General features: G+C 39.4%; 1 protein-coding gene across 11 annotated transcripts in view; it reads right to left on the bottom strand.

Annotated features, from left to right (window-relative positions):
* CCDC83 (coiled-coil domain containing 83) overlaps positions 1 to 26,725 on the bottom strand; it is a 64,948-nt gene that overhangs the window by 18,106 nt on the left and 20,117 nt on the right. For 7 of the 11 annotated variants that reach the window (XM_011544839.3, NM_173556.5, XM_011544842.2 and 4 more), the window contains exons 4-7: positions 19,233 to 19,395; positions 15,541 to 15,708; positions 6,524 to 6,615; positions 2,893 to 2,961 (exon numbers count right to left, since the gene is read on the bottom strand). In XM_011544839.3, coding sequence (XP_011543141.1) covers positions 2,893 to 2,961; positions 6,524 to 6,615; positions 15,541 to 15,708; positions 19,233 to 19,395 — 492 coding nt within the window. Of the gene's footprint in view, positions 1 to 2,892; positions 2,962 to 6,523; positions 6,616 to 15,540; positions 15,709 to 19,232; positions 19,396 to 23,033; positions 23,122 to 26,725 lie in introns of those variants that run through there. The other 4 variants (XM_011544843.2, XM_047426560.1, XM_017017355.2 and 1 more) reach the window with 2 other exon arrangements.

Here is a 26,725-nt window from a genome sequence, read left to right as displayed (position 1 = left end):
AGGCCTGCACCACCATGCCTGGCTAATTTTTTTTTATTTTTTGTAGAGCCGGGATCTTGCTATGTTGCCTAGTCTGGTCTTGAATGCCTGGGCTCTAGCAATCCTCCCACCCCAGCTTCCCAATGTGTTGGGATTACAGGAGTGAGCCACTGCTCTGGTTCTTATTCTTTCTTTCTGAAATTACTGTGTATTTGTATTAGTTGGATATTGTACATCTTACATTAGTACTCTATGTCTCTTATTTTTCTTCTTCCTTTTTTTTTTTTGTATTGTGGTCTTCCCTGTTTTGAGATTTGTTCTCTGTTCCCTATTTTATTTTATTTTATTTTATTTTTGAGACAGAGTCTCAATCTGTTGCCCAGGCTGGAGTGCAGTGGCTCAATCACAGCTGACTGCAGCCTTGACCTGCTGAGCTGAAGCAGTTCTCCCACTTCAGCCTCCTGGGTATTTGGGACTACGGGTGCTCACCACCATGCCTGGTTAACTTTTCTATTTTTTGTATAGATGGGGTTTCACTATGTTACCCAGGCTGGTCTCAAACTCCTGGGCTAAAGCAATCCTCCTGCATTGACTTGCCAAAGTGCTGGAATTACAGGCATGGGCCACCATGCCTGGTCTATTTCCTGTTTTATATTTGATTTTTGTTCTTAAAGCATCTTGTTTTATAAATAAAATGCCTTCTCAAATTTAAAATATATATATATATTGAGATGGAGTTTCACCATGTTGCCTAGGCTGGTCTCAAACTCCTGCACTCAAGTGATCTGCCTGCATTGGTCGCCCAAAATGCTGGGATTATAGATGTGAGCCAATGTGTCTGGCCAGAATTTTTTTTTTTTTTTTTAGACAGGGTCTCGCTCTGTCGCCCAGGCTGGAATGCATTGATGGGATGTTGGCTCATTGCAACCTCTGCCTCCCGGGCTCAAGCGATTCTCATACTTTAGCCTCCCAAGTAGCTGGGACTACAGGTGTGAGCCACCGTGACCAGCTAACTTTTGTATTTTTAGTAGAGATGAGGTTTTGCCATGTTGGCCAGGCTGGTCTTGAACTCCTGGCCTCAAGCGATCTGCCCTCCTCAGCCTCCCAAAGTGCTGGGATTAGAGGTGTGAGCCACTATGCCTGGCCAGATTATTTTGAGTATACTAACAAAAGACCTTCACAGTTCCCTAAATTTTTTCTATTTCTTCCACAGGCTGTTTTTGTTGTTATTGTTTATTTTTTATTTTGTTGTTAATTCACTTGGCCTTTCTCTTCTGTTGTGCCAAATGTACTCAAATGCCTGGTGGTCCTTGGATGTCTATTTATATTTAAGAAAAGTCTGGGGAGTGGCATGGATTTTCCCCACCACTGTGTAAATAGGACTGTTTTCATACCAAATTTTTCCTCTGAATGGGAATGTGGACTGGAGACTGTATGTGGTATGGCAGGTGGTGTGAACTGGCAAATCCCAAAGGATGAGAAGGCAAGAGTGGGATATTAGGTTGTGGCTTCCTAAATGCCAACATAGGAAGGATTTTCTGTGGGGCACAGAAACATCTAAGGTCTACACTAGAAACCTTTGCCTTTATCTGATAATTTGTTTAGTGTTCTCAGAGGACAGTCATCAGGTTCTTAGGTCAAAAGTAAACACTTTGGTGGTATGTGAGGGAAATTGTAGAGGGTGATGGCAGATGCTTACTGATACAGATGCTCCCTATTCAGATCATCAAGTAACCCTCTTGTTTTCTGCTCCAGTTCCCATTCCCACCATCTATAGCACACACAGACTCTGAGCAGAGAATCTCCCAGGATTCCAAAAACATTGAGTTTTGCACATCCTCTGTAGTTCTCTTGTAACGTCTGGCCCAAGCAATACCTTCTCGTTTCATCCAACAACATACTCTCACATCTACTTTTTGTCTTTCAGAAGATTTCTGAAATCTCACCTGCTAGTTAACTCCTCTTGTTCTCTTTGTGGATGAGTTCTTTTTGTATTTTTATAATTTTTATAATTTTATTTCAGCGAGCCCTCAGGAGAGGTAGGATGCAGCCTACCATCTTGAACTACAATAAACAATTCACAAAGGTTTTAACCTATGATCTAAGCTATTTATTTGATTAATCCCTTCAATGAATATATCTATATTCATTGACATTCAGTCATTCAATAACTAATAAGCACAGATTATTTATCAGGTGCCATGGAAATATAGTTGAAAAGATATAGCCTGCTCTGTGTATTAATGAGACAGATGCATAAATAGACAATTTCAACATCTTTCAGCAAGAATTACAATAAAACAAGAAAACACTGGGGAAGGAGCTCCCAAGATTTCCTGGAGAGATTACAAAATGATTCACAAAGAAATTGATAATCAAAGTCCAAGCCTGAGGGTGAGTTGGAGTTTTCTAGACAGATGAGGATAAGGAGATATGGAAGTAAGACCAGAGGACCAGCATGTACAATCTAGAGAAAACAGTACAGTACCTCACAACAAAGAATTATCTGGTTCAAATGTCAGTGGTACAGACCAAAGGAGAACATGTCATTCAAAAGAGACAATTTAACCCAGCAGAGAATCAGCTTAGAATGGTCCTTTAGACTTGCCCCATCACCCAGGAGGAAGCAGGCTCATGAGGAAGACCAAATCAAGTTTTAGGACATAAAGAAACTGCACATTTGAGTTTACTGTGTGAATTATAAACCCCAACATTTTTTTCTGATTATTATTGAGATTATGATATTTTTTGAGTAACAGCTTGTAATGAGATGAGGACTCCACTTGAATTTTATTTTGTCTCAGTCAGTCATGGTACCATGCTTTTCCCATGACTTCAGTTCATAATTAAAAGTCATTTCCACTTAAAAAAATGAGAACGAAGAAATTGTTTGTTTTGATAAATTCCACTTACCTCTTTTTTGAGCCAGTCATTCTCCCAGATCTCTAGATAACTGCCCTTGTCAATGAGCTTTACAGCATTCTAAAAGAAAGTTTCTGGATTAAGGAAGAGTTGCCACATGCTGATTCACAATTTTAGCAATAGTGATGTGCAGTTATTCTGATCATTCATTTTAGATTGTGTCTGCAATTACTTTAGGAACATACTTAAGAACTTTTGGTTTGGTTGTTCATTCTTTACTATCCTATTGTATTGCTTTTGCTGTTTTACACTGTCTATTACAGGTGATTTGGAGAACTGGACAATGTGTAACTGACCATTCAATTCACCTCCATTGTGACCGAATCTGACTGCTATGGTGAAATCATGTTTCACAATTCAGATGGTTAAACTGCAGTGATCAAACATTCTTTAAGTTTATAGTCACAGACATAATCCAACATATAGCAAAAACATGAACAGATTACTATCTTTTTAATTTGAAAAGATTTTGCATGTCAGTAATAACAACGTACTTATTTGTAAATCTAACAGCAAGTAGTTTCAGGGTAGGCTGTAGCTAGTCTCCTGAAGAAAGGCATTTTAGACAAAGAAGACAAAAAAGTCTTACTTTGTCAGTAGGTTCATAAAATATAAATTTATTTTCAATTACATAGATATTGAAAAGAATTTTATAGTGAATAACCAACTGTATTTCTCTGCGAGATGCTTTTATATGGATACTATGGTACAAATTCAATATTTAGTAACTGAAGGGCACGATCAAAAGAAGAAAAATTAAGAAAAATAATCTAGATCACAAACAGGGACAGAAATGATTTAAAAGTGTGTTAAGGGTAAATTTATCTGTTAAAGTCTTTTTTTTTTTTTTGAGATGGAGTCTTGCTCTGTCACCCAGGCTGGAGTGTGATAGTGTGATCTTGGCTCACTGCAACCTCTGCTCCTGGGTTCAAGAGATTCTTCTGTCTCAGCCTCCTGAGTAGCTGGGATTACAGGCGCCCACCACTGTGCCTGGCCAAGTTTTGTATTTTTAGTAGAAGATGGGGTTTCACCATGTTGGCCAGGCTGGTCTCGAACTCCTGATCTCAAGTGATCCACCCGCCTTGGCCTCCCCAAATGCTGGGATTACAGGTGTGAGCCACCGCGCCCAGCCCTATTAAAGTCTTTAAGAGTTGAAAGATTTGCCATAAAAATTTTTCTGTAAGTCATGCTTATTACATTATAAGTGGACCTATATTTCTTAGGAGCCGGGAATTTTTATACTCCAGTTACAACTAATAATTCTAGTTTCCTCCAACATAGAATTTCATGTGGACAAAAGCAAGAAGTTGCTCCTAACTGAAGTTAATTGGCTAATGGCTGGATTCACTAACAGTGGATCAGTGATTTCAACCTTAGTTACACATTTGAATCTCCTAGAAGCTTTGAAAAATCCAGAAGCCCACACAACATCCCAGGGCAATATATCAGCCTTCTGTATGGGTGAGATACAGGCATCACCTGGGTTAAAAAAATTTCTCAGGTGACTCTAATGTGCATCTAAGGTTGCACAGCATTGGGATTATAGGATGTTGAACTGTATGATAAAATAGCCAGCTAAAATGAGGAAAGTTCATTCAAGCATGTGAGTGTTCGACATTATGTGGAGAAAAGAAAATGTATAGTTTAGTGATTAGGAGCAGTGATCTGAAGGAGCCCTCCTGAAATGAATCTCGATTCTCCCACTTGCTCTAGGCAAGTCATAAAACTTCTCTGTGCTCCAGTCTCCTCATTAGCAAGTCTCTACAGCTTACTGGGTTGCTGAGGGACTTAAATGTGTAATGCTTGAAAGAATATTTAGAATAGTCCTCACGATATATGCTTGAAATTATAGGCTTATTTGGCCTATATATCTACTTTGAATCGTCTAACTATGGTCCGATTACTTAATGGTTGATTTCACCATGTGAGTGAGTCAGATTCACTTACAAAGTAGCTGAATTGCATGAGCAAACAAATTGCTGATCAGTTTTCCAAAACCTTCTGTATTTGTGTAAATTAGTAAAAATAATGCAATAAGAAAGTAAGACTAAAAGAACAACTGAACCAACATGGATGCAACCAATAACAGCAACTGAAATTCAGTAAGGAACCTTTTGAAAAAAGACCAGATGTTTATGATTCTGAGACAGAAATGTCCCAGATGAACAGACAATCTTAGTGGGGACCTCACTGATTTTGCAGATAGTTTGAAGAGAGGTCAAGATTGTTAAAAAAAAAAAAAAATCAGATATTTTGTGTAAAAACAAAGGAATTAGAGAACATATAAGATTGAAAATTATGCCTCAAAAATATTTTATATTCCAGATTTTTAAAGTGCCAGCAGTGTAGAATATACTCTTTTAGGTTTGGGTATATAAGAAAGTACTTTTTGGACAAATTATATTTCATTTTATAATTCATTCAAAACTTTTATTTTAATATTTTGTTACAACCATTATCACAGGTTGAGCATCCAAAATCTGAGAATCTGAAATCTAAAATGCTCCAAAGAACATTTCCTTTAAGCATCAAGTTGGCTCTCAAAAAATTTCAGATTGTGGAGAATTTCAGTTTTTTGGTTTTTTTTTTTTTTTTTTTTTTTTTTTGAGACAAGGTCTCACTTTGTTGCCCATGCTGGAGTGCAGTGGCGCAAATACGGCTCACTACAGCCTCGATCTCCTGGGCTCAAGCAATCCTTCCACCTCAGTGCCCCAAGTAGCTGGCACTACTGAGCTGGGACTAGCTGAGACAGGGTTTTGCCCTGTTGCCCAAGCTTGATCTCAAACTCCTGAGTTCAAGCAATCCACCCGCCTTGGCCTCTCAAAGTGCTGGGATTGCAGGAGTGTGCCACTGCACCCAGGCCAGACTTCTTTGGATTTTGGATTTGGGGATTTGAGATGCTCAACTGGTATAATACAAATATTCCGGAATCTGAAAAAATCCAAAATCTGAAACATGTGTCAGATAAGGGATACTCAACGTATATTTCTTATACTTAAAAAAATAACTGATTAATAATTCACTGATTAGCCAAGAGTGGTGGCACATGCCTGTAGTCCCAGCTACTCAGGAGGCTGACGTGAGAGGATTGCTTGAGCCCAAAAGGTGAAGACTGCAGTGAGCTGTGATTGTGCCGCTGCACTCCAGCCTGGGCGACAGAGCAAGATCCTGCCTCAAAAAAAAAGAAAAAATTCACTGAGCTGTTGCTTCTTGTGAGAGATTATAGTACTTAAATCATCTCATTTAACCCTCACACTATTTCTTTAAGGTAAATACTGGTATTATTCTCCATTTTATAGGTTAGGAAACAGAAGCCCAGAAAAGCTAAGTAACAAATTCATTATACAGCCAGTAAGTGTAGAACTGTGATTTAAACTCAAACTGTCTAACTTCAGAATCCACGTTCTTAGGTTTGGATATAAAATAAAGTATTTTTTAGACAAATTATATTTCATTTTATAAATCGTTCAAAACTTTTAATATTATGTTACAGCCATTATTACAGGTTGAGCATCCCAAATCTGAGAATCTATCCAAAGTTCTTAACCACTATAATATACCCAAAGAAAAAATAGGGGGAAAATGTTTGTTTTGTTCTGTTTTTAAGAAAATTGAATTATACCTGTGTGGCCCATTCCTTCTTTTGGTCCAGTTGCAACAAAGTTTCCTTGATTATTTTCTTTCTAGTATCTTCCAGAGTGATTTTATAGTGTTCTTTAAAAAAAAAAAAAAAAAAAAAAAAGAAAATTAAAAGCCTTATCAAGCATGATTCTAGGTAAAACTATGTGTGGCAGTCTACTCTTCATATCACACAACTTACTACTCCACAACAGAAGTATGAAGACTTTATTATCTGTTCGGGTAGCATTCTGTCTGACTTCATCTAACTAGATTTCCACTATTCTTGGCATATGTTTCCTGGGCCAGGAAAGACAGAACGAGGAGAGGAGAGTAGAGAGGGATTAAGGGGGCTCAGAAAGTTGATAGACCTGGTTATAAGTTAGGCTCAGGTGAGAAATACAGACAGAAATGAAGCACAGGATTCTCTGTCCTCTCAAGATTTTCATATGCTCACAAATGTCATTATTGAGAGAGCAAAGAATCATAAAATTTTAGGCCTTGAAAGATGCTTAGAGATCATGAAATCAATATCCCTTCTTAAGGACTATGAGACACTGTGACAGCAAGGCTGCTTTAAAGAGTGGAGAATAAGAAAGCTGGACAAATGAGTCCAATTTGTTCATTCCTTTTTTCAACAAGTAACTATCAAGCTCTTTCTGTATGCCAAACAGTATGTAAGACACTGCAAATATTGCTGGTTAAGACAGAAAAAAAACCCGTCCTTGTGATATGTACATTCTAATGGGGAAGCCAGATCATAAATAAGTAAGCAGGTAAATAAATAATATTTCAGGTGGTGATGTGTATGAGGAAGAAAAACTAAAATTCTCAATTTTAGATCGGGTGATCAGAGAAAGCTTTTTTTGAGGAGGTAACATTCAGGGACTGAGTCAGGTAGTCAGCAATGTGAAAAATGAGGAACCTGTACTACTCCAAACGAGTTAATCTGAGAATAATCAAAGTTAGTTGTGTTTTATTACTTCTGTGTTATATGTTCCCATTAGTTGTGCTTTATTTATGTAACATAGGCAGGGCAATTGTTTGGAATTCAGAAAGTATTTTCCCATACAAATGATGTTGAAAATCGTGGCTGCTAGATTTCTGGGCAGGTCCAGAGGCTCACTTAACTTATTCTACAGCTAAACAACAGTATTGTACTAACAGTACTATAGAACCTTATTTCCATTTAGGATAGCGGTCCCCAACATTTTCTGCATGAGGAACTGTTTTCCTGGAAGACAATTTTTCCCCAGACTGGGTGGCAGAGGGGGATGGTTTTGGGATGATTCAAGTGCATTACATATGCACTTTATTTCTATTATTATTACATTGTAATATATAATGAAATAATTATACAACTCACTATAATGTAGAATCAGTGGGAGCCCTGATTCTACATTATAAGAAAGCTGGACAAGTGAGTCCAATTTGTTCATTCCTTTTTTCAACAAGTAACTATCAAGCTCTTTCTGTATGCCAAACAGTATGTAAGACACTGCAAATATTGCTGGTTAAGACAGAAAAAAACCCTGTCCTTGTGATATGTTTTCTTGGTTATAGATGGTCCCATCTGGGGGTGATGGGAGACAGTGACAGATCATTAGTCATTAGATTCTTATAAGGAGCATGCAGCCTAGATCCCTCACATGTGCAGTTCACAATAGGGTTTGCGCTCCTAAAAGAATCTAAGGTTTCTGCTGATCTGACAGGAGGCGGAGCTCAGACGGTAATGCAAGTGATGGAGAGCCGCTGTAAATACAGACAAAGATTCACTTGCTTCTCCACTGTTCACCTCCTGCTGTGTGGCCCGGTTCTTAACAGGCCACAGACTAATCTTGGCCTGTGGCCTTGGGGGTTGGGGAACCCCTGACTTAGGGCGTTGTTTCAAAGGGAAAATTTTCTTCACAGACCAAGTCAGCCAAAGCAGAACCCTCAGGGATTTTATGCTGTAGGGAAGGAGATCTGCAGGTCTGGTCTTTCAATTGACCAGGAGCCCAGCTAAGGCAGCTACCACCAGAACTCAGGCCAGAGAGCTGGGCAAGAGTTATTCAGCCCTCGTCTATACTTTGTACTAGCATAACTGTTTCTCCCATTAGATGAAAACGCTGAGAGCAGAAAGTAAAAACTTCTCTTCCATATCTTTTCATTACTGTATCCCTGGGACACAATACGTGCCAAAAAATATTTTGAAGAAAATCAAATTTGGCAAACTGCAAGTCTTTGGTGGGCAGTGATCTGAGGCTTCAGCACCAGAAAGCAAATATTGGCTCTTCCCCTTCTCTGGCAGCTTGGGTGGGAAGGGGAAGAGGGAGTAGAGAGAGAGAGAAAGGGAGAGTTCTCCTAACTTGTGGGGTGGCCAGAAAAGGTGGTCAGGAGAGGGCAGTTTCTGCCTCTAATAGAGATGGACTAGAGTGAGGCAGTAGTTCATAAGCAAGAATTCATTAGGTTTTTGGAGTTAGTCTAATTTGACATCTAGAGAATAAGAAGTGGAAGCCTTTATTATTCCAACCTACATATTCCTGTTTATACAGCCTGCGTTTTTCTTACTTATTTGAACTAATCTCATGAATATTTTAATCCTTCCAAACTAATTTCTGATGGAATTTCTTTTTTCAATTTACCCTAGCCCATCAGCTTAATGTTGGTTATTTATTTGAACTTCTACCCAACAAAACACAATAATCAATCTAAAAGTTGCAATGGATCAGGAGCATAATGGATTTTACATTCTTAGCATCTAAAAGAAACCATAAAACCTGGAGCTTGATAACATGAAGTATTAATTCTTTGCTATAAATAATTTAAAAATAGATTATCAAATACACTCTGACTAAAGATGTAGCTTTCTCTATTGCCTTATTAATACTGAAAAAGCAATATTCACAATCTATTCTCTTCCAACTTCCATATAAAAGTGTATGGACCGTTTTTCTTCTTAAAAACACAGTACCCAGGACAAGGGTGAATGTGAGAATCTCATTGTTAGCCTCTGTGATTCAGATGATGCTTCTGGTAACAATTAACCATTTATTGGTGAATGCAGCCAAAGAAAGTGGGGCATGTAAAAGTCTCCTCGTAAAAGCTCGAAACACTGCAAGGGGGAGCTTGGCAGATTAGGACTGTGCAGAAGACTCCTTGCTTCTCAGACACCCCATCTAATGGCGTCCCTTCCCAGAAGCTGACCCCACACTGCACTGGCTAAAGTTTGCTTTGCACTGTTCCACCTTCCCTGCTGTGTCTGGCTCTGCTTTGGTTCACTCCTCCTGGCCTGTTGAGAGCTTTATTATATACTCTTCTCTGACTTCTGGGGTCACATAGCTCCATTGTGTTGACCCTCTCCTGTGGCAGTGGCCTCTTCTTAGTCCCTTTTGCAGAAAACTGAACAGGAGCTAGCAGAAACACTGGCCAGGTAGTAATCTTTTTAGAGCCGCCCCAACTCACTGAATCACAGATTCAGGGGGACTATTTGAAGCAGATGGATTTGGGGCCTAACACACCTAGGTTCAAATCCCTGTTCCATTTGTTACTAGCATTGTGACTTTGGTTAGGGCAATTAACTTCCCTGGGCCTGTTTTCTTATCTTTAAACTGGCCTAATTATATCTAACTCAAAGGAACTTGTAAGGATTAGACAAGACATGGAAAAGCAAATGCTGGAAATGTGAGTCCTCTTGGAGATCACCTAGGGACTCTGATTTTATAGGCAAGAAAATTAACATTCAAAGAAACAATGTTACTTTTTTGTACGGAGTCTTGAACCTAATTTAAAAAAATTCACTGTTAGTGTACAAAGAACTTTTAAGAATCCCTGTCCTGTGCCCCAGTAAAGGACAAAAATAAAAATGCTCTGTGACTGTAATTATCTAATGACTTGTAATAACCCCTCACCTTCTCATTCCTGGGCTTATTCTAAGGTTCCTTTTCCTTTTATTGAGGAGAAGTAACCTTGGCCTGGATATGTTAGTGACTGTTTTCTATACTAGTATCCCAATATCCCATTCTAGCTAAAGTTCAGGGAAGCAGCTCTAAGTGTTTTCTCCTCCTCGCCCCCTGGGTTTCAGCAGAGGCTGCTGAGTAAGGCAGGTGACCGAGGAACAGTTTGTGCTGGGGCTGACTGGTGACCCATGAGGTGGTATGGACAAAGGCCATTGGTCATGTTTGATAAGGTGCATGATGGCACCAGATGTCTTTAGAAATGGGCTGGAGAATACTGCAAGGACTGTTCTGTGGGAAGTAGAAGAGAAGGGGGACAGGTATGCAGAGCAAAGCAGAGGTGCCAATGAGAGGGACAGTCACAGATCAGGGGAGAGAAATGTGGGGAGGAGCCATGCCTAGAACCACCGCTGATATCATTCTGTCTTCAGTCTTCCCTTTCCTCATTTGTGTTACACCCAACAAGCATTACTCTTGGGGAGTCAAGCAACTTAATTTTTGTCTCTTTCCTTTAAAACTCATACTGTGAGGCTATTGACTTCTGCTCAATAAAATATATGGTAAATCCTATGACTTCTGGTTTCTTTGTGGTAACAAAAGGTCCTCCAATGAGTAATTAGTATGTTCAGAATATTGCAACAATTTAAACTTCTTTCAAAGTTATGCCAATCCCCTTTCCTAACTTGGGCCTGCTGCCATTTTCTTTGCCTTGAGCTTCCATGATTCCTCTCTCAGTGCTGAAGGGAAGAGGGAAACATGGAAAACGGTAAGAAAGCTCTCACTTGACTGATACTGTCTCAAGCTCATGTCTACTTTCTGGACCTAGCTGGCATTTAAGGCTGACACATTGTCTCATGGGAGTGTTTTAGTAGGTTCTTTGGAGGACAAGCTTCCCCATTTCAAATGGGATTTCATCTGCATTCCCTTGATCCAGGGCAAGTACTGTCCTTAGAAGTTGGTAACAACTTTTCTGTTGGTCCCTGGTTTTCAATTCTGCACTCCCCTCCCACACATACAAAATCCCTGTTTTTCTGTTGGGGACCTATCACCGGCCCCCAACACCCTAGTCAGCTGTCTCCAGCAAGATTTCACATGACTGTTCCCCAACTCTCTCTCATAACAAGTTGACAAGAAACACTCCTCCATTCTTTGCCCTGACAAACTCGGGAGTGCAGGCCCAGCCCAGGGCAGCAGCCACCTCTTCTGTGTTCTGCTGTCAGTGCGGTTAGCTCCTCAGCCACTTACTCCCTAGATTTCTCAGGGATGAGTCATAAACTAGACCTGAATGCCCAGACTGCAGGGGACACATACTGAACCATCTGAGAAATCTCTCTGAAGACCTTTCACCCAGATTTGAGATGGAGGAGGAATTACCTTTTACCTGCTCCTCGGTGGGGGAAAGAGTAGGACTGATAGCACACCAAAAGCTCTTTCCAAAAGTTGTCCCCTAATTTCTAACAACCTTTTCCTGGCCTCTCTAACTTCTTGTATAGACTGGAATTCGATGATCAAAGGTGCGAAACTGGTTTTCTTCTTCATCAAATTGCAAATCTATGTGGTGGTATCTCATCTCATTTTGCCACCTCAGCGTAAACTGAGACTTTAAAAAGTTTTAATATCCTCTTTCACTTACAGCAACCTCCCAGCCCACAACAATAGCCTGACTTGATCTCTCTTCCTTGCATGTAAAGCAGCCTAACTAACGCAAACCCCATAATCATTGGAGGAGAATTCCAGGAAAATCATGAAAGAAGGCAGCCTGTGTAGAAGGTAGGAGAAAAAGAGGGGATGATGGTAGTAAGCCTTCAGATAGATTGATTTAGGAGTCTTGCTCATATTCATTGTGTCCAGTTAGTGGTCCCCAACATGTTCTAATAGTTCCCCTGGTGGAGTGGCTGCTGCTACCTGGATGGTTAAGACAAGTCCCTAAAACTAATGGAAAATAACACAAGCCCATAACAACCATTTTCTTATGGCTGCGCCCCATGGCTTGACCAGCAAGTAATTCAATATATAAATGTTTTTACCACCCCAAAGTTGAATACAACCACATGAAAATTTTTAAGTCAAAGAAATCATCCTAGTTAATAATTCATTAATTTAAGACAAGGTCTCTCTCTGTCACCTAGACTACAGTGCAGTGGTGCAATCTTAGCTCACTGCAACCTCTGCCTACTAGGCTCAGGTCGTCCTCCCACCTAAGCCTCACAGGAGCTGGAACTGCAGGTGTGCGGCACCACACCCAGCTAACTTTTGTATTTTTGGTAGAGATGGGGTTTCACCCTGTTGCTCAGGCTTGTCTCGAACCCCTGAGCTCAGGTGACCCATCCACCGTGGACCCCCCAAAATGCTGGTATTACAGGCGTGAGACACCACGCCTGGCCCAATCATCCAAACTTCTGATCAAGATAATGGGTTAAGTTTATATGAGAAGATCACTTTTCCTACTTTAAAAATGTGAAATAAATACTGGCTAAAATATTTGAAATTTTGAAAATGTACCAGAACAATAACTTTTTAAAAAGTATTCTACTGGTTAACAAATGCATAGGCAGATCAGTGAATCAGAATAGATAGTAGAGAATAAGATTCAGATATATATGAGAAATAAAAGTATAATAAAGTTAGCACTTCAAATCAGTAGGATAAAAATTGATGATAAATGATGTTGGAACAACTGGAAAACCATTTGGTAAAAAAATAAAGTTGGATCACTCTCTCACACAAAAACAAAGACTTAAATATAAAAACAAAACCATAAAAATTTTAGAATAAAATATTGGAGAATTCATTCATAATCTCATAAACGTAAAATCAAAGACTGATAAGTTGGGCACTTTAAAAGCACATCATTTCTTCATTAAAAAACCCACAAACAAAAAAACTAATGACAAATGGGAAAAATATTTGCAATTTATATCACAGTTAAAGAGCTAATTTTTTTAAAATGTAAAGAGTGCCACAACACATTAGAAAAATGGGTGACAGATATGAACAGATGGTTTATGGAAAAGGAAATTCATATAGCTCTTGAAGTTATGAAAAGACACATTCAGTGTCACTTTTAATAAAAGAAATGGAAATTAAAACTACAATGAGATACCATTTTCGACCCATAAGACTGACAAAGAACAAAAATTTGGATACCACCCCCTGTTGCTGAAGATGTGGGAAAATAGGTATCCTCATGCATACTGTTAGAAGTACCACTTGGTACAACCTTTATGGAGGGCCACATTTATCACAGTAAAATAGTCTGTTTCACACAACCATTTCTTTCAGAGATACACATAAGTGAAATGACATAAATACAAGAATATTTGTCATAGGAAAATGAGACATGTGTAAGGATAGTCATTGCAGCATTATTTGTAATACTAAAACACTAGAAACAACCTTAATGCTTATGTGTAAGAAACTGGTCAAAAAATTATGGTTACCAGCCTGGGAAACACAGTGAGACCTCTACAAAAAATAAATAAAATTAGCTAGGTATGGTGGCACATACCTGCTGTCCCAGCTACTCAGGAGACTGAGATGGGAGGATTGTTTGAGCCTGGGAGGTTGAGGCTGCAGTGAGCTGTGTTCATGCAATTGCACTTCATCTTGGGTGACAGAGTGAGACCGTGTCTCGAAAAAAAAAAAAAAAAAGGTACAATAAAACCATGCAACCACTGGAAGAATGAGGCAGTATTAAGATATACTGATTTAGAAGGATGTTCATGTTGTTACATGAAAAGCAAGTAAGACATCATATTTATAGCATGCTATTTGTGATATATATATATATATATGCATAGAATATTTCTGACTGCTAAATAAGAAACTGGTAGTAGTGGGAGAGGATTTGAGTGCGGACAGAGGGAGTAGCAGGCTGGCACTCTTGTTCTCTTTTCAGAAGAAGAACCTTTTGACAAATTGGAACTTCATGCCCAGACTGATATGGGGCCAAGTTTACACCACCACTGTGGTGCAGAGGCCCTAAGCTGAGAAACTTACATACAAATTGGTCCACAAGCAGAGAGCCCTGATAGGGGGACATGGGAACCACCCACAGGAACCCCTCCACAACGCAGGGCACTATCTCCAGCTGAGTCCTGGACTGTTGTCCACCCACAGCAACTCTTTTGGGCCAGATTTCCCCCATTAATTCTGTCCTATGATTCTTCTGTGTCTGGGTCTCTGGTGTTCTTTTAAGCTGCTATGCTTGCCTCAGTAACAGACAGCTGGCCCTCATCGTGTCCAGATCTAGTCCTGGTAAGCTTCATTGCTCCTGACGGCATCCTACTCTATAGCCTCTCCACTTCTCATCTCATGTTTGTTCCCCAGTTTTTCCCTGGTTACAACTTAATTGACTTTGACGTTTCTCCATGATGATTCTGGCTATCCAGCCTGGCTAAGCTGACTTAGCTTGCCCCAGGTGAATTCTCTTTCTAATATAACCTGGCCTCAGGACACTCCTATCTTGGTGGAATTGCTTCTGTCCCAGTGTGGAAACATACAGACCCCATCCATTGAATGAAGATTCTTTCTTCTTTTTTTTGAGACAAGGTCTGCTCTGTCACCCAGGCTGGAATGCAGTGGCACAATCACAGCTCCCTGCAGCCTTGACCACGGGGCTCAACTGATCCTCCCACCTCAGCCTCTCAAGTAGCTGGGGCTACAGGCATGAGCCACCATGCCCAACTGATTTTTTAATTTTTTGTAGAGATATGGTCTCACTGTGTTGCCCAGGCTGGTCTCAAACTTCTTGGCTCAAGCGATCCTCCAGCCTCAGGCTGTTGAGATTACAGGCATGAGCCACCGCATCCAGCCAGAAGCGTCTTTCTTAAAGTCACTTGGTCACAGGGCTTCTGCACACTGCCCCCCACCCGCCCATTTCTTTATTTCCCCTTCTCAGTTTCACAGGTGGTCCTGGGATCATTTTTCTGCTTCCTCCCTCCACCTTTACCCTTAGGCTCACAGCTGCTTGTGCTGACAGCAGAGTAATGAATGATTCAGGGAGTATGCACTTTTTTCTTCCATCAATGTATGCCCTACTAAAGATGTTTTTTACTGAACTTGAACTAGTTTTGTTGCAACTGACCTGACATTTTCTCTGCATTCTCTTTAACTGTGTTGATGTCATTTTGTAAGGAGGTAATGAGTTTAGCATGTCGTTCACTCCCTACATTCTTGTACTCCTCCCAATATTCCTTTTCACTGAGTTTCTCAAGAAATAGTTTCTCAGCATTACTTATTTGCATGCGCATATCTGTTGAAAATAAAGACACTGTGTCATTTCTGTTTTCCTTGTAACCATTATATGTTGCAATCTGGTTTTAAGAAGTTAAGATCTGATATTAAAATACTGTTAACTCATAAATACTATTTTATATCTAAAATTTAGGAAATTCTAAACTATTCAAACTGTTGTTTATCTATCTCCCCTGATTCAAAATCTAAGCAAAATTAAACTTCTGACTACAAAGTAGATGTGTGGTTTGAGGGTTGATTGAAAGACGTAATAGACAACCCATATGCCTAGGAAGCTGCAAGTTTACATCATTCCTGATAAGGGTCCTATTTTGTACAGTGTATCATATAATATGTATAATATGTATTCTTTATTAGGAAATTGTCATTTTTCTGGCCATTATACCCTCTGAGCAAAAGTGATTTCAACTTGTGTCCTTCCCAGGTCCTTGGCAACCATTTTTGTAAGTAAATTGTTTGATTCAGTCATCTAAAGTTCATTTATTTGGATTTCTCTTGTATGAAATGATAGCCTCTGATAGTCATAATAACATGTCTTTTCCCACCCCCCTTTGGTAAAACCAGAGTGATGGGCAAGTTCCCCAGTTAAATGTGTACAAATACTGAACTATTTCAGGGATATAAACTTTGTTTGCTAAACATGATATTCTATTCAATCTTTAGGCCGAATATCATGTTGCTGAATATTTTTGAAAAAGAAGCATTACAAAAGAGTCAAGTACAACAAACTTAATGGCTGTTTATCTCATCACCATATATCACCTTGTTTGAGAGTTCTTTGAAGGAAAGACTACATTATATTCATCTCTGTAAATCCAGCACTTAGCACAGAGCCTGGCAATTAGTTGGCGCTCAATAAATGTCTGTTGAATGACTGAAGCATTTCAATCAGGCCAGGGTGATATTCTTCAGTCCAGAGGTCCAGAAGGACTCAGGACTCATCTTTTTCCAAAGATGTACACAAGATACTAATTTTTTTTTTTTGAGATGGAGTTTTGCTCTGTCACTCAGACTGGAGAGCAGTGGCGCGATCTCGGCTCACTGCAACCTCCACCTCCCAGGTTCAAGTGATTCTCCTGCCTCAGTCTCCCAAGTAGCTGAGATCACAGGCACCCACCACCACGTCCGGCTAATTTTGTATTTTTAGTAGAGACAGGGTTTCATTCACTATGTTGGCCAGGCTGGTCTCGAACTCCTGACCTCAGGCAATCTGCCCGCCTTGGCATCCCAAAGTGCTAGGATTACAGGTATGAGTCACCATGCCTGGCCACAAGATACTATATTTAAAATCTCTTAACAAATGGTGGTTATTTTCATTAAACAATTATCAGTACTACTATAAGCCAGATGGGTAGTTGTTCTCTCATTCGAGCAGACTGCTACTGTCTCAGGCCAGTGCCCCATTTGGCCTTTGAGGGGAGGGTTGGTAGATGTCACTGAAGATTGTAAAAGGGAGATGGATGTAGTGGCTGTTTTTCTACTTTCTTAGAACTTCTTCCCTTCCCTTCTAGTAACACATACGCCCCAGAGATTTTTGTTTGTTTGTTTAAGCTGAGATCTGACAGCATGTGAAGCCTTGTATCCAGGTCAGAAGCACTCTGTCTTTCTGTGTTAAGTGATGTGAAAAGACTAACATCCCCTTTATGCTTAGGCTAGTTTGACTTGGATTTTTTATCCTTGCAACTGAAAGAGTCCTTACTAAAAGTTGGATGAAAAGGGTTGCAGCAGTATTTCTCAAACCTTACTGTGCATAGGAATCCCCTGGGATCTTGTCAGAATGCGGATTCTGATTCAGTAGGTCTGGGTGGGGCCTGGGAATTGGCATTGTAACAAGCTGATAGGTGAAGCACTTGCTGCTGCTCCACACCAAAATGAGTTGCAAGGGACTACCTGGGACATAAAGTGACTACCTCGGAAATGTTTTCCAGACACTTCTGTTCTCTTACTTTCCCTCTCTTCCTCCATGTCTGTGAGCTTCCTTTCTTCCCATGCATGTCCAGTCCTCCTCTATTGTGCTCAGTCATGCCGTGTGGCCCAGTCTTGTATGACACATCCCCATGCTCAGCCCAAACCATCAACAGGCGCATCTCAACTAACTGGGCCCATTCCTTTAGAAGGCAGTTTAGCGAGCACAGCTGAGCATCCTTTGGGGTCTCACTCCATCTCAAGGGACTTACTAAAGTATTCCTTCCAAATATAAGCAGAACTCTTTTGGAAAGAAGTCATGCAAAATATACTATCTACCATGTCATGACATCCCTATTGCCAATGAAGAGACTTGGGTAGGAGGAGGTCTATGGGAACAGTTTTGGACTCCCCTAAAAATGAAACTTGCCTATTGATGTTTGGTCTTGGAAACGATTTCACTCAAAACAGCAAATATCTATTGAGTGGAGAGCCTGCTGTGTGCAAAGTGCTCAGCTAAGTAGGCACTTGGAGAAATCCAGAAATACGTGGATTTCCTAAGGGCTAACAAATGATAGCACTTAGGTCTCTTTCTCATGTTTTCCAGCTTCCTAGCAGGGATGTTATTTATGGAGGTTTTGGCAAAAGTGGTCCTAGAAATCTTAGCAGCAAGTTTAGAATGAAAGAATAGGAATTTCAAAATGTGTATGTCAGAACTGCATGATTTACCCTCAGTACCATGGTATTTCCTAAGCCTACAGCAAGAGTATGCCCTGGGTCTTTCATTGCCTGCACCTAGTGTCATTACTACCCATGTTCTCCAAACTTCCCCTTTCCCAACGCTAATCCCTATTTCCTCCATCTAATGGGGTGCTTGGCTCCCTTAGAGATATTGGGAGAAACATTTTTCATGGTTTTATTTGCCTTATCATTCCCAAATCTAAGCTGAAGCTGAAGTCAATGAAACCACCAAACAACAGAATTAAAAAAAAAAAGAAAAAAAAGAAAAAGAACAAAACCCTACTATGAGTAATGGTGTTTAACAAGATACTGTCCTGTTGTAAGAGTCAGATGAGGCTGGGCATGGTGGCTCACGCCTGTAATCCCAGAACTTTGGGAGACTGAGGTGGGACTATCCCTTGAGCCCAGGAGTTCGAGACCAGCCTGGGCAACATAGCAAGACCTCATCTCTACAAAAAAGGAACAAAATTCTCAGGCATAGTGGTGTGCACCTGGAGTCCCAGCTACTTGGGAGGCTGAGGTGGGAGGACTGCATGAGCCCAGGAGGTTAAGATTGCAGTAAGCTGAGATCGCACCACTGCACTCCAGCCTGGGTGACTGAACTACACCCTATCCCAAAAAAAACAGTCAGATAAATTTCATCTGTTTCTGATCACTACCCTTCTTCCACCTCCTTGCTTGGCTTCATTACCTCTACCCACTTTATTATTTCCCTCTCCTGCCCATTTACCTACATGTGTTTGTGGCTGCGGTGGTAATGATGCCGTTTAAAATACACTTAACAGCATTTTGAACATATTGGAAGAATAAAGCATTAATATATTCAAGAAATAACTTGGCACAACTCTATGATAGTTTTCTATGTTCCTAAATCACCTCTCAAGTTTTTTTCCTGGTCTCTTTCAAACTTCCATTTTTCCTTCATCGCTTCTTCAACATCCTCTCTTGTTACAACTGGCAATCCCTCTGCCTTCTCTTCACTCAGTTCCTTTAGTAGATGCCGTATGTGCCAAATCTGTTCTTCTTTTAAGCGGCTATTCTGTCATGAAAATCAACAGTAATTCACGTTTGATCAACTATGTACACTATGTTTCCTCAAAATAGAGTCAAGAAGTTCCCGGCCTTTGGGTATCACAGGAAGGCAAGTGGGAAGCCTGGACTTCTACTTCCATCAGACATTATGAGGTGGTATCCCTACTTCCCCTGGCAGAGCAATGCCAGTAAAAGCTAGGTAAAACAGAAGATTACAAATAAGATCTAGAGTCTTATGACATTATTAAAAAAATGTCCAGGTTTCAATAAATCACTCATCATACCAAGAACCAGGAAGATTGTAAACTAAATGAAAAATGACAATATGTAGATGCCAATACTAAGGTGGCTGACATTTTAGAATTATTATTATTATTATTATTTTTGTTTTTTTAGAGATGAGGTCTTGCTATGTTGCTATGCTGGTCTGAAACTCCCTTGACCTCTCAAAGTGCTGGGATTACAGGTGTGAGCCAGCAAGCCTGGCCTATAACAAAAGATTCATGTTACTGGAGTATTAGAGGGAGAGAAAGAGGGCAGGACTGAAAAAGTACTCAAATAAATAATGGCTGGAAACTTCCCAAATTTCCAAGAGACATAAACCTATGAATTCAAGAAGCTAAGCATACCCCAAACAAGATAAGCAGAAAGAAATCCATGTTAAGACACATCATAATCAAACTTCTGAAAACTAAATACAAGGGAAAAGTCTTAAAAGCAGTCAGAGAAAAACCACACCTTACCTATAGGAGAAAAACAATTAGCATACAGGGCATACCTAATTAGAATATCCAAAATCTGGGCAGCGTGTGGTGGCTCATGCCTGTAATTCCAGTGCTTTGGGAGGCAGAGCTGGGGGGATTACTTGAGGCCAGGAGTTCAAGACTAGCCTGGACAACATAGTGATACCCTGTCTCTACAAAAAATTTAAAATTTAGTCAGGCATGGTGGTGCTTGTAGTCTCAGCTATTCAGGAGGCTGAGGAGGGAGGATCACTTTAGCCCAGGAGTTTGAGGTTACAGTGAGCTATGATCGCACCATTGCACTCCAGCTTGGGTGACAGAGAAAGACCCAGTTTCAAAAAATAAAAATAAGAAAATTCAAAATCTGAAATGCTTTAAAATCTGAAACTTTTTTTTTTTGGGGGGGGATGGAGTCTTGCTCTGTCACCAAGGCTGGCGTGCAGTGGTGGGATCTTGGCTCACTGCAACCTCCACTTCCCTGGTTCAAGCGATTCTCCTGCCTCAGCCTCCCAAGTAGCTGGGATTATAGACGCCCACCACCATACCTGGCTAATTTTTTTTTGTATTTTTAGTAGAGACGGGATTTCACCATGTTGGCCAGGCTGGTCTCGAACTCTTGACCTCAGGTGATCCATCTGCCGCGGCCTCCCAAAGTGCTGGGACTACAGGCATAAGCCACTGTGCCCAGCCTAAAATCTGAAACTTCTTGAGTACTAACATGATGCCACAAATGGAAAATGACACACCTGATGTCATGTGACAGGTTGCAGTCAAAATGCAGGCACACCAAACACAGTTTATTCAGCATCCCCAAGGGGAAAATAAAGTTAACTTCAGGCTATGTGTATAAGGTGTATATGCAACATAAATGAATTTCATGTTTAGACTTGAGTCCCATCCCCAAGATATATCATTCTGTATATGCAGATATTCCAAAATCTAAAAGAATCTGAAATTGGAAACACTTCTGGTCCCAAGAATTTCAGTTAAGGGGTACTCGAACTATGTCAGCATATTTTTCATCAGAAACCATGCTAGCTAGAAGAAAGGTAATAGGAAGTGGCACATTATTTTTTATGTGATGAAAATAAAGAACTGTCCATCTAGAATGCTAGACCCAGTGAAAATATCTAACAAAACATGTATAGGACTTGCATAGTGAAAACTAGAAAACGCTGATTAAAAAAAAAATCAAGATCTGGGCCCAGCACAGTGGCTCTTGCCTGTAATCCCTGCACTTTGGGAGGCCAAGGAAGGTGAATTGCTTGAGCTTAGGAGTTCAAGACCAGCCTGGGCAACATGGTGAAACCCCATCTCTACAGAAAATTTAAAAATTAGCCAGGTGTGGTGGTGCATGCCTGTAGTCCCAGCTACTTGGAAGGCTGAGGTGGGAGCCCAGAAGGTTGAGGCTGCAGTGAGCCGTAATTGTGCCACTGCACTCAAGGCTGGTTGACTGAAGGAGATCCTGTCTCAATAAATAAATTAATTAAATAAATAAAAATAAAACAAGATCTAAATAAATGGAGAAACATATCATGTTCATGGATTGGAAGACAGCATAGTAAAGATATCCCAATTTTGATATACAGCTTTAATATAATCCCTATGTAAAGCTTAGTAAGTTTTCTTTGGGTCAGGGGGCAAATATATACAAGATAATTCTAAAATTTATATGGGAAGACAAAGGAAACAGTATAGCTAAAATGATTTTGAAAAACAAGAATAAAGTAAGAGGAATTAATTTACCTTATTTCAAGACGTATTATATAGCTATAGTAGTCAAGACTATGTGGTATAGACAGAGGGGTAGGCATAGAGATCAACTGAAGAGAGTAGAGAACTCAGAAACAGACGCACACAAGGCAGGGCGCGGTGGCTCACGCCTGTAATTCCAACACTTTGGGAGGCTGAGGCGAGCGGATCACCTGAGGTCAGTTCAAGACCAGCCTGGACAATATGGTGAAACCACATCTCTATTAAAAATACAAAATTAGCCGGGCATGGTGGCAGCTGCTTGTAATCCCAGCTACTGAGGAGGCTGAGGCAGCAGAATCGTTTGAACCCAGGAGGTAGAGGTTGCAGTGAGCTGAGATCATGCCACTGCACTCCAGCTTGGGCAACAAAGCAAAATTCTATCTCAAAAAAAAAAAAATTGTTAATCCTCAAACTTATCCTTATCAAATTTTACTTTATGTATTTTGAGGCTCAGTTATTAGGAGAAAGTGGTACCTCATTGTGGTTTTTATTTGCATTTCTCTAATAACTATGTTGAGCATCTTTTCATGTGCTTGTTAGCCATTTGTATATCTTCTTTGGAGAAATGCCTATTCAATGTCGAACTGATTTTTGACAAAGGTATGAGAGCAATTCAATGCAGGAAAGAGAGCTTTATCAACTAATAGTGCAGACGCAACTGGACATCTGCAGGTAGAAAAAAAAAAGAAGAATCTTGATCTAAGCCTCACACCTTATACACAAACTAACTCAAAATGGACCATGATTTAAATGTAAAAGGTGAAACTACAAAAATTTTAGAATAAAACATAGGAGAAAATCTTTGAGATTTAGGGCTAGGCAAAGAGTTTGAAAACTTGACACTGAAAGCATAATCCATAAAGGAAAAATTGATAAACTGGACTTCATTAAAATTAAAAACTTTTACTCTGTTACAGACCTTTTTGTGAGGATGAAAGACAAACTACAGACTAGGAGAAAATATTTGCAAATAACATATCCAAGAAAGGACTAGTTTTAGAAGATTATATATATACGTAAAACTCAAGAGTACAAAAAGTCTAATTATAAAATTAGCAAAAGACAGGCACATGAAAAGATATTCAACATCATTAGCCACTAGGGAAATGCAAATTAAAACCACACTAAGATATTACTACACACCTACCAGAAGGCTAACATAAAATAGTGCATAGCGGCATCACTAAATTCTGAAGAGGATGAGGAGAAACTGGATCCCTCTTATATGATGGTGGGAATGTAAAAGGTACAGCCAGTTTGGAAAGTAGTTCAAGTTTCTTTAAAAACTAACGTGTAACTATCATACTACCCAGCAATTGAACTCCTGGGCATTTATTCCAAAGAAATGAAAACTTTTGTTCTTAAAAATACCTGTCCATGAATGTTTATATTAGCTTTATGTAAAATGTCCAATAACTGGAAACAACCCAGATGTCCTCCAGGTGAATGGTTAAACAAACTGGTACATCCCCACCATGCTGCTAGTCAGCAATACAAAGAAACTAACTGATAACACACACAACAACCTGGATGTACCTCCAGAGAGTTATGCTGAATTTTAAAAAGCCAAGTACCAAAAGGTTACTTATTGTATGATTCCATTTGTATAACATTCCTGAAGTGACGTTATAATAATGGAGAACAGAATAATGGTTGCCAGGGTCTAATGAGGGGGCAGAACTGGGAGGGGAGTGAGTGGCTTTAAAGGTCACATGAGGGATACTTGTGGTGATGGAAATCTTCTGTATCTTGACTTTCCATGTTAAACTTGTCAATATCCTAGTTATAATATTGTACTGTGATTTTGTAGTATGTTATGAGAAGCTAGGTAGTAGGTACATAGGAACTTTCTATCATTTTTATATCATTTTTATAACTATAAGTTAATCTATACTTATTTCAAAATGAAGTTTAACTAAAAAATGAAGGCCAATGAATATTAACAACTGAAAAATAAATAATTTACTACTCTTTAACCAATTCTCAGATATTTTATTTTCTGAAATGAAATAGATTCATGTTTTGTTTGCTTATAAATAAATTGAATTATTTTAGTTTGACATGTTATTTTAAAATGAAATATTTATAGAAACTTGAATAATAGCAATGGAAATATCACTTGCCAAACTATTGCTCTGCTACTACTTTTTCTTAATATGGACTTTTCCACTTATTTTTGTAGAAGTGGAAAATTCCTTTATCAACTATGTTTTGAATCCTAAGTAAAGATATCTGATTTTACTTATGTTAGTTAATTTTAGTAAGACAACAGTGGCCTCTAAATTCAATCCCAGCTCAAAAATATTTACCATGATATACAGGCAAAAAATTCCAAAGAGTGGTAATTTTAAAACCACTACATACAAGTGACAAAGAAATGTATATAATATACAAAGAAATTTTAGTTTTATTTCCATACTTGACACAATACTTCTTAAAATAAATCCAGATCTCCTAGATCAAATATTTAACACAATGACTATTCTTTTCAAGCATGTGATATTTTTCATTTACAAAATTTAAAAAAAATTGTTTAATTTTTACCATTTTAGAGACAGGATCTTAGTCTGTTGCCCAAGCTGGAGTACAGTGGCATGGTCATAGCTCACTGTAACCTCAAACTCCTGGGCTCAAGCATCTTCCTGCCTCAGCCCCCTGAGTAGGTGGGACTACAGGTGCACACCACTGCACCTGGCTACTTTCTACAATTTTTTGTAGAGACAGGCTCTCACTATGTTGCCCAGGCTGGTCTCAAAACACCTGGCCTCAAGCGATCCTCCTGCCTTGGCCTCCCAAAGTGTTGGGATTACAGGCATGAGCCACTGTGCCTGGCCTGCATAAGCATTATTAAACACTATTTGACATTATATATAAATTTAATATCATCTATATTAATTTCCCAAACCCCATATGAATTTTGAATGGAAGGAGAATGTGTCTGATAGCATTTGACAGAATTCAATGTCTCAAAAATTATTTTGAGTAATATACAGAAACGAAATTTAGTTAGCTGTATCACTAATGTGCTAAAAATATGTTTATCCTACAAAGTGAGGTAAATAATTACTATTTAAGGTAAGAATAATTATCACATTATAAAAATGGAAAAAGGATATTCAGTAAATAAGCTACAAAAAAAAGATTGATTTTGTTTTCATATAAAGTCATGTCATGCTTACCCTTTTAACTTTTTAAGACTCATAAGAACAAGAAAAGAGGCTGGGTGTGGTGGCTCACCCCTGTAATCCCAACATTTTGGGAAGCTGAGGCAAATGGATCACTTGAGGTCAAGAGTTTGAGACCAGCCTGGCCAACACGGTGAAACCCTGTCTCTACAAAAAGTACACAAATTAGTTGGGTGTGGTGGCGCATGCCTGTAATCCCAGCTATTTGGGTGGCTGAGGCACGAGAATCCCTCGAAACTGGGAGGTGGAGATTGTAATGAGCAGAGATCGCGCCACTGCACTCCAGCCTGGGTGACGGAGTGAGACTGTCTCAAACAAACAAATGAAAAAACAAGAAAGGAAGTTGCCAAAACAGAGCAGAGAGTTCCAATCTACTATTCACCTTACTTTCCCCAGTGATAAGATTCCACATAACCATAGTACATTATCAAATCCAGGAAAGTGACATTAGTACAATGTTATTAACTAAGCTAGAGACTTTATTCATTTCCGTTTGTACATACACTCATTTTTTTTGGTGTACAATATTATGAAATTTATCAAATATAGATATGAAAATTATTAACAAATAGATGGTTATTTGAAGCCATAGTGTTAAGTGAGATGACCCCAAAAAGGAGTGAGAGAAAAGGGTTGAGATCAGAACTCTGCTAAATGTGATAATTAAGGGATGGGTCTAGGCAAAGAGCAGTGAATGAAAAATGAGAAGAAATGGTCAGTGAAGTAGTTAAGTTGCAGTGAGGTCCTGGAACCCAAAGGAGAAAAGGGTTTTAAGATAAAGGAAGTGGCTGCTGGAGAGGTGAGAGGTAAAGAAAGGACTAAAAAGAGTCTATTGGACCTGGCAAATTGGTCATTAATAACTTTTGCTAGAGCAGTTGTGGTGGAATAGTAGGAATGAAAGAATGAATGGAGAGTAGGGAAGTAGACAGAGTGAACTACGGAACATCTAATGAGGTAGGTGGAGCAATGAATGCAAACTGAGAGAAAGATAATAAATGGGGTGATAATCCAAACAGAACTAAATATACATAGGAAGAGATGATGTGTAGGAAAGAAGAGGGGCATTTCTGATTTTGAAATAACTGAAGAGAAAACATGAGTCATGTTAAATATCTATGACCTCAAAACATTTTTTCTTCCACTAGTGTTAGCATGAATCAACTCAACAAATATTTATTGAACACCTACTTAAGCTGGACTCTTCTGGAGAAACAAAGAAGTAAGACTGGATTGCTGCTGTCTAAAAAGCTTGCTGTTTAATAATGGAGATATAATTTTACACAATATTCCAACTTAGGTTGGGGGAATGAAAAGGAGCTAACCAAGAAAAAAGCATTCCAGGAAGAGGAAACAGCATGAGTAAAGGCATAAATAAATAGATTGGTTTTTCAAGATTTCAAAGAAGAGATGGTAAGCAAAAGGTGGAGCAGTGATAGAGGCAGGAGGCAGACAAATGCCTAGGCAGATGGGGCCGGTCCCCAGTGAAATCCAACCTTCAAGCTGGAAACAGTCCTGGGTAAATCCTCCAACCATATTGATAACCCGCCTTCCTGTTTGGCGAGCTTTCCTCTGATTGGTCCTCATCCTTCACCTATTTTACATATACCTACCCTTTCCTAATTGGTTTTCTACACTATTGTGCCCACCCTAACAT

The sequence above is a fragment of the Homo sapiens genome, chromosome 11 (assembly GCF_000001405.40).
Source record: "Homo sapiens chromosome 11, GRCh38.p14 Primary Assembly".
Taxonomy (NCBI): Eukaryota; Metazoa; Chordata; class Mammalia; order Primates; family Hominidae; genus Homo; species Homo sapiens.
This window is presented reverse-complemented; position numbering and strand designations above follow the sequence as displayed.